The sequence below is a fragment of the Homo sapiens genome, chromosome 3 (genome assembly GCF_000001405.40).
Source record: "Homo sapiens chromosome 3, GRCh38.p14 Primary Assembly".
Taxonomy (NCBI): domain Eukaryota; kingdom Metazoa; phylum Chordata; class Mammalia; order Primates; family Hominidae; genus Homo; species Homo sapiens.
This window is the reverse complement of record NC_000003.12, coordinates 107,634,016-107,647,727: the sequence shown is the minus strand read 5'-3', so window position 1 is coordinate 107,647,727 and position 13,712 is coordinate 107,634,016. Positions and strand designations below refer to the sequence as shown.

At 37.0% G+C, this 13,712-nt stretch overlaps 1 protein-coding gene across 16 annotated transcripts in view; it reads right to left on the bottom strand.

Moving 5' to 3' along the window:
• The window catches only part of BBX (BBX high mobility group box domain containing), a 288,378-nt gene that overhangs the window by 163,612 nt on the left and 111,054 nt on the right, over positions 1-13,712 (bottom strand). For 10 of the 16 annotated variants that reach the window (XM_005247644.5, NM_001142568.3, NM_020235.7 and 7 more), the window contains one exon: positions 1,819-1,892. The gene's annotated coding sequence lies outside the window, so the exon portion shown is untranslated. The other 6 variants (XM_024453646.2, XM_047448597.1, XM_011513001.3 and 3 more) reach the window with 3 other exon arrangements.

Sequence of the window (13,712 nt, the reverse complement as noted above, 5' to 3'; positions counted from 1 at the left end):
GATACTGAAATGTAATTGACTAAGTTGACTGATATGTTTCCCAGATTTATTGAACCCTGGCATCCTTTTGCCAAGTAACATCTTCTAGGATTTGTTTCCTCAATTACTCCTGGTTTTTGTATGGCATCTTTTCTATTTCTCAGTTAATACTGCATTTAAGACAAGCATATAGGTCAGCTAGAAAGTATGCAGTCTTAGCCATCTGCAATTAAGGTTCCATTTTAAATTTTATCAGCAGTGTGAATTTCTGTCAATTTCTGCTTATAGTCAATAAAACACTCTATTGCAATAATCTGATTAACATTCAGAAATCATTGCTCAGATGGCTACTTAGTGAAGTCTGCCATGGTAATCTTGGTTCATTACTTAGTTTTTCTGAACAGGTCAGATAAAGTGTCCGGCTTTGCTTTTTGTATATGTATTCATATTTAGCAAATTCAGAATACTGCCACAAATTCCATTTTCTTTAAACCTCACCATACTCAACTCTCTTTTAGATTAGCAAATGAGAACATACTTGAAATTTCAGTATCAATTTTTGAAAATTCCATAGTCTATACTCCTGACTCAGTAAAACCATAATTAACTGTATTCTGGCTGACATTCTTAAGTTCAGAATTTGTATTAATATTTGTAACAAGTGTGCCTTGAAGGATAGCACAGTGAAGAAGAAAAACAATAATTAAATTCCAATCTTCTCACTGGCATTAAGGTTTTGTTGTTTAAATGACCTATTATAAATACACATTCAAGTAAATCATATACATTTTACTATGTATACAATCCTAGACAATGACTTTTAGGAGACTCGTTCAGAGGCCTTATATTTATACTGACATCATAGAAGCAATATTCAGTGATATAGTTACCAAAAGGGGAAGGTAGACACATAATCTAGACAGATGTAATAAGCTACCAAATATACTTTAAAATAGAAAAGGTTTTGGATTAATCTTAATTAAAAAGTTAAAGAATAAGTTCCTTTCCTGAAAACTATAACTAAATAATATTTACTATATTTGCTCATTTTAATTCACAACTGTTTCTTCAGTCTTATAAATCAACAGTTCACCATAAAGTATTCAGATACCAGTAAAGCAATCCCACATCTGATTCCCAGATTGGGAAAACTCTAGGCATTTAAGTAATTATTATTAAAACTAATTTTAAAATATTATTACCATACATTAAAGTTAAAAAAATTTTTCCCCTAAAACGACAGCTTTGAAAATAACTAACATATAAAAGGACAGTTATAGTATCTGTGAGTTTCAGAGTTTTATATAATTTGGCACATGTATATATTTTAAAATCTCAACTTTTTCCTTCATTATGTGGTTTTCATATATAAAGTGATTTCAAGATGCAGCTACACCCACCTCTATTATTTTTAACAGGTAAGAAAAACTCCATAATGCTTCGATACTGATTCATTTTTCAATTAAAGCCAACAGCAGTACAAAAAACAGCTTTTGGGGAACAGATCAATTTAATACCTATTTAGGTATATAACCTCTTAGTATCTAGGACTTTAGAAAACTGACTTTCACCAATAATGCACTACTGTGGAGAAACGAATCAGAGATTTTGAAACCGCTAGTTTTAACACTTTCATGATTTTAAAAGAAAATTTAACTTACTTGATAATGGAGATCAATAAAAGTCACACTTTAAAAAATAATAAAATTGACAAGAAAAAAATATCCAATGATCACACTTCCTTGATCATGCTGAGACCAGCTCTGACAGCACATAATTCTTGACTGCCTCACTGCTTCCAGGTAAGTAAGTAAGATGTACCTTCACAACAGCTCTTACCAGTCAAGTCAAGACTTTCCATTGTGATTTCAGTGGAACATCAGAACTTCCAGCTTCTGTGATGCAGCAGGATTCTGTGAAGGACCCATAGAAAAGTAGTTAAAATGGTGAGCCAGGAAGGCCTTTCAAATTAAAGCTGACACTCATTCTCTTTAGCAAAATAATCTCCAAATAAAATGAATTACCAGCCAAACAATCAACATGAGGCAAATATCCTTATGCCAATGCTAGTTAGAGAAAGTGGCCCTAAAGTGTTTATTTTCAATTTTAACAAAAAGACAGTCACTAAAATTATTCAACGGAAATTCTGAGATTAAGGTTACACATACTAAGAATTAATCACGGGCAATAACTTCCTGGCCTTTTGGCTATAATTAAGTGTAGAATTACAGGCAAATCCCCTGGAAAAACATGGGGTTAAATCGACACCCTAACTAAATTCAAGTTATTTTAAATGACTGGCCCCACTCAACTAGATAAACTGTGATTCAGATATTAATACTTATGATTTGCCTTTTAAATATTTTAAAGTTAATAGGGCAAGATAGTAAAAACGAACAAACAAGAAAGCAGCCTGGGGTGAGGGGGACAAATAGAAAATAATTTTTATTTTTTAAGGATAAAGGATGAAGTAATTATAAGATCAAAATCAGTGAAATGGTGTACATGTAAATTAAATGGAATATTTTATTTTAATAACACTGCAAATATATATCCCTAAACCATATCATTTCTAAGAATTCAAAAGTTATCATTTATGTTTCTTTGTAAGACAAATTTAGGCTGCTTCAGTGGTGAAACTAAATCCACACTCAACTAAAAGAAGCAATTCCCTGCTCTAGGCAGATTATGACAATATATTTCTTCTAAATCTGTAAGCTACACACTGTAGAAACTGGATATCACTTTCTGGCTTATGGCTCTATCAATATAATATCAGTCATTTTATGGCTTAGCTTAAGTTTTTTTTTCTAATAAGCCACTATGATATGGAAGAACTGGCTCTTCACATTAAATATCAAAAATATGTAATGATTCATCTGAGTAATCCTATCTAGAATTAGATGACTCAGTTGCCACCCCGTGCTATTAACAAAAACAAAAGCTGGAAAGAATGAATAAAGTATTAATTGGTCTCATGTGGCTTCAGGCAAGATACTACTCATTCATCCATATTTTTTAAAACAAGGGCATAGATAAAAGAATAAATCCAGATCTTTGAAGCAAACTATAAAGGACACATATGAATACTTTCAAGTCAAACGTCTACGCTTTTACTACAGTTTAGGAAAGCAGCATGCCAATTCCAAACACTGATGAAATAAATAATATCAAAGTCTATTATTATAAAATAGGCAACATATAAATATCAAAAACATTTTTAAAGAAAATCTCATAATACTATCACATTCACATACTTTTCATATACATCTATGAAAGTATACAGAAGAAGCATTAAATATTATGAAACAGATGAGTAAATATCATGAAGTAAATAACTGTAAATAAACGTCAAGTAAATAAACTGGTATAATCTAAAAATATATATAATTTGTACTGCCAAAATTGGGATAAGAAAGTCTACCATTAATTTTGACAGTGTGAGTTTCATTCTTATTTTGATTTAAGGATTTTCTCTTTAAGAAGTGAATATATGCTATCTGAGAAATAAAATACCCTATACATCCCTATATACGTAAGTAAGTTCTTTCAGGAGCTCAAAGATAAACTCATTAATCTTCAGGTACCCTTGGAGATTTGTTTCTATTAATATAATTGAATATACTCCAAAAAGTTGACCATAATTGCACTTTGTCTTGATAACTGTTCAATAATTTATTACCCATGATGCAACTATCTATAGATAAAGTAGCAGAGGGGTGAGAGAGGAGATTGGCTATGCTTTGCCCAATATGGGTTTTTTAAATCTCTTAAAATAACGAAGGAATCATGGTAGACTTAAGAAGCCAGGAAATCAGCCACAGAGCAGACATCAGTTTCAAGGCTGAGGGTCCTGCCTGTGATAAGTCTATCACAGGCCTTTGAGTTCTCTGACAGCCAAACAGAAACACTCCAAATTTTATCTGGCTATTACAAATGGCCACATGAGTAGCCTCAGAAAAGCAGTTGCAGCATAGCCTGGTCTGCATTTAAATCACTAGTATTTCAGAGAGTGTACTGATTTGACGGAAATGAGTGGTGATGTGAGGTATCAGAAAGGCAGGTGGGCCAGCAGGGGGAAATGCCCTAAGTATGAGCACAACCCTATAGAACGGTGACTTGAATGAGCCCTGAGACCAACGCCTGGGCAGATTTTCATCTGAGCCACCTGGTACCTGTCTGTGTTCTCTGGGTCCCACTTTGGCTTACTTTCAACCCCCAATCACCCCCACAGAGCCTTGGCTTCCTGACTCCTGGTGATTAGCTCCACTGCCTCGCTAGGAACTTGTCTTTCCCTTTTCAAGGCCTCTGCTTCCCACCCATGACACTGCACACCCCCCTCCCAGTCCTAGCCAGCACTGATCTGGCACAGCTTAGGATTCCCTCTAAGAAACTTCATAATGGCAGGTGGGACAGCCATCTATTAAATATTATTTGTCCCTTACAAACAGGGCATCTGAAAAACCTATCTTACAGATGTGGCCTAAACCACCACTGACACACGCTGAAGCAACTGGCTTTTTGACACAGCTCTCACACTCCCCCTTGAGGTGCTGTTTTAAAAAGCTTTTTATACTAAAAAAGGTGAGGTGCCACCTCCTACAATGAGGCAGATTCCCAATTAGTGTTAATGTCCAGCATAACATTCAAAGGCACGTCATTGCAAAATCCCCTAGTATGCCAAAACTGTGTTTTGCACCCTGATGTCACTACTACCTAGTCAGTGCAGAAGGGACTCCGAGGTAACGATGCTGCCCACTTACACAGAAGAATATTTAATCCCCATGAATGACTGCTTTTCTGATGTTTTCATCAATTCTCTGGGTAATAGATTAAGCTTTAACTAACTCATTTTCATACATACCCCTAATTCAATCAAGCTCAATAAAAGTCATTCTGGACTGCAATTATTTGCTAAGGAACAATTACATTCAACTGAAAAAAAAACTGCTGGGCATGATACCATGCATGGTACACATGCCTCTCCATTTATAGAGTAAAAACAACAACAAAAATAGCCATACTGCTAGAAAAAGGAAATAAGGATTTTTTCCTCATCCTCTGGAGAACAGAATACTCATGCTTTCATACCTTAAAAAGGGGGGAGGTAGGGAATGAAAAAGCAAATTTTTAAATGACTGCTTTCAACTACATGTATGCTTTCAAAGAGACTGTATTTCTAATTTAAGAGCCAGCATGATTTCTGAGACCCCAAGCAAGTATAGGTCACGAACTAGGAGTTCTAATACCCACTCTTCCACAAAACCTTCCGCTGGCTTCCTCCATTTCGTCAGTAGGTACTGTATTCCAATTTCCATTTTATAATGCAAGTTTTCTTAAGAGACTTTTCCTACTTTAAAACTACTTCTCCATCTTTACATGGATACAATTCTTATCTTCTTCTTGACTCATTATTTTATATACTACATGTTGATAAAATGAACTTAATCACCAAGCTTTTACCTCCATGTAATATAATGGAGTTGTGTTTGTAGTCAAAAAATTCTTGTTGATTTAATTAAAGCCTTCCCTGTCCTGGGTGTGCATAACCCTTTCCCATTCTATATATTCTGTTATTCCCAACAGTGGCCTCATACACATTACGCAATTTGTAGTACTGAAAATGATGTTGTTATACCAACTGTTATGCAATTTTGGCCAATTAATTCCATGCCTCAGGTCACTGTTGTCCACTACAGGCTAAAGGCCTAGAAATGATAAACTGACAGTCTGATCTCTAGTTAAATCATCTGCTGAAATAAAATATCTTCATATAGAGAAAGATAACTGCAGGAACATATATACACTCACATACACACACATATAAAATAAAGAAAGTGGCAACATAAACTATGAATAAAGAGAAAACTTTTGTTAAAATTACCCGTCTGTCTTTTACAGTTGAAGCTTAAACCACAGCTGTTTCACAGGCATTTCTGGCCAGGCACCAATCTTTAACTGAAATTACAATGACAGCTATACTGAGAATGGAAATCTCTCAAAAGAAATGCAAATCTGAATTACCTCTTTGTCACTTTCCCACCCCTACCTTGGCATTTCCTCATTACTCCCAGAGCCTTTCAGTTGAAAAACATTAAATATAGTAATAAAGGCAAACATGTCTTAAGAGTTCCCTAGATAATTTGGCAGTAAACCATAGTAACTACTAAGTAATTACAGATTTGTCCATTTGTTTGGATTCTCCAAAAAAAAGTATAAGAAAACACTAGGTAGGAGGGACAGAAAACTCCAGCATTCATTGGTTCAGATGGGCCCTTTATAACAGCAGATGAAAGATTTGCAAATCCTCTCCCCTTCAGTACTTAATATTGAACCAAGAATAAAGTTATTTTTAAAAATGACCGGCAAGGCTTGGTGGCTGACGCCTATAATCCCAGCACTTTGGAAGGCCCAGGCAGGTGGATCACTTGAGCTCAATAGTTCAAAACCAGCCCAGGCATCATGGTGAAACTCCATCTCTACTAAAAATACAAAAAGTAGCTGGGTATGATGGTGTGGGCCTATAGTTCCAGCTACTCAGGAGGCTGAGGCAGGAGACTTGCTTAAACCCGGGAGGTGGAGGTTGCAGTGAGCTTAGGTAATGCCATTGCACTCTAGCCTGGGCGACAGAGTGAGATTCAGTCTCAAAAAAAAAAAAAAAGAAAGAAAAGAAATTACCTACCACCTACCTATATGCCAACAGAATAGCAAGGCAAATGATGTAGCCTTTTACTGTTTGGGAAATTACTAACCTCCTATGCATTAACACTGCAAAAACTATTAACAGACCGGGTGCGCTGGCTCATGCCTGTTAATCCCACCACTTTGGGAGGTTGAGGCAGGTGGATCACCTGAGGTCAGGAGTTCAAGACCAGCCTGGCCAACATGGAGAAACCTTGTCTCTACTAAAAATACAAAAATTAGTTGGGCATGGTGTTGGATGCCTGTAATCCCAGCTACTTGGGAGGCTGAGGCAGGAGAATCACTTGAACCCGGGAGACGGAGGTTGCAGTAACCAAGATTGTACTACTGCACACCAGCCTGGGCAACAGAGCAAGACTCCATCTTATGAAACAACAACAACAACAAAACAGTTATTATAATAGTTACTGCTTTCTTAAAGCTGATGAGATCTAGTTGGGTGATCACATACACAAACACACAAAGCTAAATAATAGTAGCATAATATGTAATAAATGTCAAAATGGTAAGGAAAGGAATTTTTTAAAGTTAGAATATACCAGGGGATCTCTACACAGGAGACGAATAAAACTGGAACCTGAAGAACCAATGGCAGTTGGGAATACAGACAGACAGGATGGAGGAGAGTGTTAAAGGCATAGGATGAGCAAAGGTTCAATACTAAAGCAAGCATGACTTGCTGGAAGGGATAGGAGGCATATGCAGCAGATCTGGTTGAAGTACAGGGTTCACGTGAGAAAGTAGGACATGAAATGTGGGCAAATGAGAAAGCAATGTGATTTGCTCTTTTTTCTCTCCATAGTTTCCTAAATAGCAGAGTAATGTTAGCAGCATGGTGGTATACTAAGCATACTGGCCTTAGGTTTACTACCCTGCAATTGTGGGCCAATTCCTAAGCCTCTCTGAGCCTCTATTCCTCATCAGCAAAATTGGGATAACAATCCCTACATCTCTAATTGTTGCCTTCAGAATTATTAGAAGATATTATAAATTCAAAGCATTTGCTATACAATAAGTGCTCAATAAATGTCAGTAATCTCATTAGAGATAAAAACTAAGGGGTAGAAAAGCATTTAATAAAGTTACATTGTGAACACACTTAAGTTTGCCTTGACTATTCTCAGCATTTGGGTGCTGAATGAATTGCTACTTCTCAAGTGTTATTTCACCATAGATTTTATTTTAATTTAGATGGCTTTCATATATGTTTAATTCTGACAGTCTCACTTTTAACCCTACCAATTTCAATATACATTAGCTGATTTAATGTACATTGCCATAAGATCTTTGTACATTATGTACATTATGTACATTGCCATAAGATTTTTGCTGCAGGGACCATGGTGGAACCATGAATGTCTACAGTTTCCATAAGTGGAGAAGTAAAAGGAGTAGGCATTAGTCCAGTCAGATGCCTCTTTTAAACTCCTATGAATTGTATCAATGAGACCTTCTCAGGTATGGGATATCGCACATTTAAGGCAAAAAGAGTTTCACTTCCAGGAAGGGTATAAAAACATGTTTGCCAGCAGCTACATCAGGAATAACGACAGGGAAGCCCCAGGATCTTTGGGAAGATTCATAAGCTCTATCAAGCCACTGAGAACTAAGCTGGAAAATAAACAGTGAAGATAATCCCAGCCCCATGGGATACCCCTCAGAGATTGGGTTAGCTGAAGTAAACCCTGACCTACACTGTTTAGGCATCAGCCTGCACCTTCAGGAAGGGGTTCTGCAAATGAAACCCACTGGAGAAACCTTAAGACCACCTTGTCCCCTGTTGAGGCAAGAGTGTTCCCTGGGCTCCTTTCACGTCAGCAATAATTTGGCAATAATTTGCAATATATTACAAAATCACATTCTTAATAAAAAAATTTAGTCCAAAGTCATTTGATAAAAAGGGAAGTCATTAATTATCAATTTACATAATTTTAAATGGAAAATCTTCAGTTCCAAGAAGCAAAGGACAGTGATCTCTTATTTTCCCTTATTAATACATTAAATATCACTTAACAGCATATTATGATCAAAAATTATAACATATTCCTTTGCTTTTTTGAGACAGGGTCTCACTCTGTTGCCCAGGCTGGAGTGCAGTGGTGCAATCTTGGCTTACTAAAACCTCTGCCTCCTGGGCTCAGGTGATCCTCCCACCTTGGCCTCCTGAGTAGCTGGGACTGTAGGCACATGCCACCAGACCTGGCTAATTTGTCTGTGTGTGTGTGTGTGTGTGTGTGTGTGTGTGTGTGTGTGTGTGTGTGTGTGTATACTTTTTTTTTTTTTTTTTTGGTAGAGGAGTGGTTTCTCCACGTTACCCAGGCTGGCATCTTGAACTCCTGAGCTCAACCAGTCCTCCCACCTCGGCCTCCCAAAATGTGGAATTACAGGCATTAGCCAGTGTGCCTGGTCATATGTTACTTGTTAAAAAAACAAAAAACTGTACTGTCCAGAAAAAGTACCTGTTTCAAGTGTGTCTAACATGTTTCCAGCAAATCGCTTACCTGCAGAAAGAATTGTTCCAGGTATATTAATTCCAAGGATATTCCTGATAAGGAAGACACACAGGAGTCTGCTCAAAAGTGACCAATGGCAACTGTCAATATGCTCCTTTTTGAAGTAACTTATTACAAAGCAGTTATCCTTGGGACAAATAACATCACATAGCAATTAGTTGTTTTAAATCAGAAAACTAGGCTGGGCTCCATGGCTCACGCCTATAATTCTAGCACTTTGGGAGGCCAAGGCAGGAGGATCACTTGAACTCAGGAGTTTGAGATCAGCCTGGGCAACATACTGAGAAGACCCTGCCTGTACAAAATATTTAAAAATTTGCTGGGCATAGTGATGTACACCTATAGTCTCAGCTACTTGGGAGGCTGAGGTGGAAGGATTGCTTGATTCCAGCAGTTCGAGACCAGCCTAGGCAATACAGTGAGACCTGCCTGTACAGATTTTTTTTTAATTAGTCAGGCTTGGTAGTTTGTGCCTGTAGTTAGTACCAGTTACTTGGAAGGCTGAGGTGGGAGGATGGCTTGAGCCTGGGAGTTCAAGGCTGCCGGGAGCCATGATTGCACCACTGCATTCCACTTGGGTAACAGAGCAAGACCCTGTCTCAAGAAAGAAAAGGAAGGAAATAAAGGAAAGGAAAGAAGAAAGTAAAGGGAAGGAGGAAAGAAGGGAGGGAAAGAAGGAATCCAAGAAACTTTCCTTAGAGTCCATCAGGGAAGTCCAATCACATTTCCATAGCTGACGCCAAGTAGGACCCAGAAAGTTTAAGTGACTACACAAAAGGCCATCAGCTGGTTTATGATAGAGCTGTGACAACATCCCAGGTCTTCACATTGCTTTTCTCATGACTTCACACTGCTGCCCTTGTAGGAGTTGATGTTTCTCCCTATCACACATCCTGTGAAATCACAGGATTACAGAATGTTGGAGGCAGATAAGAGTTTGAAGCCACTCAGTTCAACCCATCGACCACACAACCAAGACAGAGGCAGAGGTAGGCCAGAACCCAGGGCTACTGCCATGGTCAGTACACTTGCCCTGTATCACACTGCCCTTCTGGAATATGATCAATCCGTTTGATCTGCAGTTTGTCATCCACAGACTAGCAGGAAGCTCCAGACCAGATTACAATGCATCCCTACTCTTCCTGTGTTCCTCTACAGAAGCGTTCAGTTGGAAAAGTATGGTAAAACCAGGGCCTAAGTTTTTACTGTCAATGCTCAGTCAGAGAATGTTTCTTGGCTCTAAAACATTTTCTCCTTTCTAGTCTGAAGGCAAAGAAAGATGCCTTCTACAGCCTGTTAGCTGTAGAAGTGAGCATGTAAAATATTTCTTTGTGTTCTTAAATATTCCTATAAATACCTTAGAATAAAAAGTTAATGTCAGTGTAGACAGTATAGAGGAATTCTCTGTAGTTTCCACTCAATTTTGCTGTAAGCTTAAAACTTCTAAAAAAAGGTCTATTATTTTTTAAAAAGTTAATGCCAGTTTATTACATTCTAACTATATTAAAATTATATATTGACTGAAGAATAAATAGCAAGCCAATGCCAGTTGAGAATATATGAAGAGTAATTCTCCTTTAAATGCTCACCACACTAGAAACACCTAGTACCAATTAAAATTATGTTTTCCATTAAAACTAAGCACATTCTCTACAGTAACAACCTCTTTACGATATAAATGCTCTACCAATAATTAATCCTCAATAAATGCCCTCTGCATTAGTTCTACTGCTCCCACAGCAGTCAATATTTAAAATAATACAAAACATTTAGTTTAGATTAAGCCAATTCAAAATAGCAAAGGAAATATTCTCCAACTATTTCCATTGGTAGACATAAGGGTTATCCTTTGTCACTAATTCCAGTGTAGCAACCCACAGAAATCAGTGCTATACAACTCCGGGGGCACCAATTATAAGTACTACAAGGCAAATGGCAAAAGACTTATCCTGAAGCAGCCTGAGAGATACCTGTAATAGCCATGGTTCTTAATACTGCTAATAAGTATTTTGAAATGTTAACTTCTTATATAATTATCAAAATCAGATTGTCAACTTTCAAGTCTCATGTAGAAACTTTATTTAAATAGCAGAATAATCAGCTACAAAAGTGTATTTTCCATATTAGCTTTTCTTAAGCAGCAAATTATAGACATGTATGCTTTTGCCTGCTCATCGTACAGTCTCCCCCACCTCCATTCCTTGGTAAAGGCGCTTAGATTTTTAGGAAAATATTCCATGTACCTTGAATGTATATATATTTTGGGAAAATAGTCCATGGCTCCTTGAGTGGGACTGACCTAATTCTACCTGAGTTTCAGGTATAGAAATATCACCCAGGCTTGGCCACTCAGCTTATTCCATCTTCGTGAACACTGCAGCTGGGTGATGAATGGGTACGAAACCTGAATCATGGCAAAGCATGCAAAATAAATAATACCAAGTTTATGCTATATTATTCCCAGTGCCCAAAGGGAGAGGAGACAGAGAGTAGAACAATTAACAGTTTTGTTGAAATAAAAGTACTCCGGGCACGGTGGCTAACGCCTGTAGTCTCAACACTTTGGGAGGCCGAGGCGGGAGGATCACCAGGTCAGGAGTCTGAGACCATCCTGGCCAACATGGTGAAATGCCATCTCTACTAAAAATACAAAAATTAGTCAGGCGTAGTGGCAGGCGCCTGTAATCCCAGCTACTCGGGAGGCTGAGGCAGGAGAATCGCTTGAACCAGGAGGCGGAGCTTGCAGTGAGCCGAGATGGTGCCACTGCACCCCAGCCTGGGCAACAGGGTGAGAATCCATCCCAAAAAAAAAAAAAAAGATGAAAATACTGAACCACATATATACTTCCTGAAAAGAAAGGAAAGAGAATACTGATTTATTTTACTCTATTTCAAATCCTAATTTCAGTGACTTTATTCAAAATTTTTGGCACATGATGATATTCAGTAAGTCAAGATGTTTAGATTTGAAATTTTTACTACACATATCAGTTTCTCCTTCAATTGTATTTCCTATAAAGATAAGTTTCAGGTTTCAACACAAATACTAAAAACTGGCAAATGTTAATTTGACTTCTAAAACTAATTCTATGGTATTTCCAATATCTTGAAATTTGCTTATGGATGGCAGTATACTTAAGTGGACAGTGGCACACAATTCATTTTCCATGCAAGGTTATGGCTTGATATGTTTTCTTAGATTTAGCAGAAAAAATTAAACAAAATAAAAACATGGACTCATTTGGAATACAGTGTTTCGCTTCAGTGAGAGTTACCATACATGCCTCCAGAAAAACATAATCAATTTCTGAGGAGTTAAAGTAAACTATATCAATACCCAAACTATTCTAAATATAATTTTCAAATAAAATCTTCATAGCTTGAAGAGGCACAGTGTTTGAGTTATTTTTATAGATGGTAATAGTCACAAGGAACCCAAGAGTTGGGTATCATACAATATATATGATAATTATTTTCTTCACTAGACTAGATCCCTCATATCAACTTACTTGACCCAGGTCTCTTTCATAAAAGTTGAATTTAATATATGTGATATGGTCACACATGAACATCACATAATCAAAAACATAAACTTCAAACTACTGAGCTCTACCATTACTCAGATTCCAGACAAAGAGAGTACTTGCTATAACTTAAAAGCAACAACAAAAGTATTTGTTTATTCTCTGGAGGTAAGGTGGATAGAAAGAAAGGAATCATTAAATGTAAATTCAGACCTAAGATTTATTTCCAAACGTTAGCTATATCAACAAGGCTTTTACAGGTTTCTGGAAATGCCAGAGCCTGCTTTGATAACAAGAGTAAAAGCAAACTTCAATTATTCTATTTTCAGGGTGAACAGTAACAGGAATAGTAACACACTTTGGATTCCAATTCTGAATCATGGTTTATAGCCTTCAATGAATCTCATCAGCAACAAGTTTCATATAATAAATTTTGGGGAATCTTCAAGAGATTGTCTATGATATAGACTTGATAGGCTTGAAATTTAACATTATTTGTTTACAGTAAAATCTACAACACAGTTCAACACTGTTGCTAGAAAATAATTTTAATTAATTAGGTCGCGCTTTGTCTCCATACTCCAGTCCTCTCTCCAAAGCTATTTTAATATACTTACTGAATATTTTGTATGGTACTAATTCTACATAGAGCTGAGAATGGTACAACAGATAACAGAGGTAGAGGAGAGGACTAAGAGGGAAACTCTAGGTTTCTCTTTTGAAGTTCTAGCATGAGAACTCAATGCATACTAACAGACATCTGTCTAAGTTAAAAATCCAATGGTAGAGTAATAAGACGAGGTGGCATGTAAGCATACCCACAGACATAAGTAAGCATTGTCATCTTTATCTGTTTATATAACTGAAAGGTATCACCTATAGTCTAAACTTAGTAGCATCAAGTGGAATGAATAGAAGTCCAAAAGTAGAGAATAGAGAGGGGATGCCTACCTTAACTGAAAAGCATGTGAAGTGACATATTGTAATATGAGCC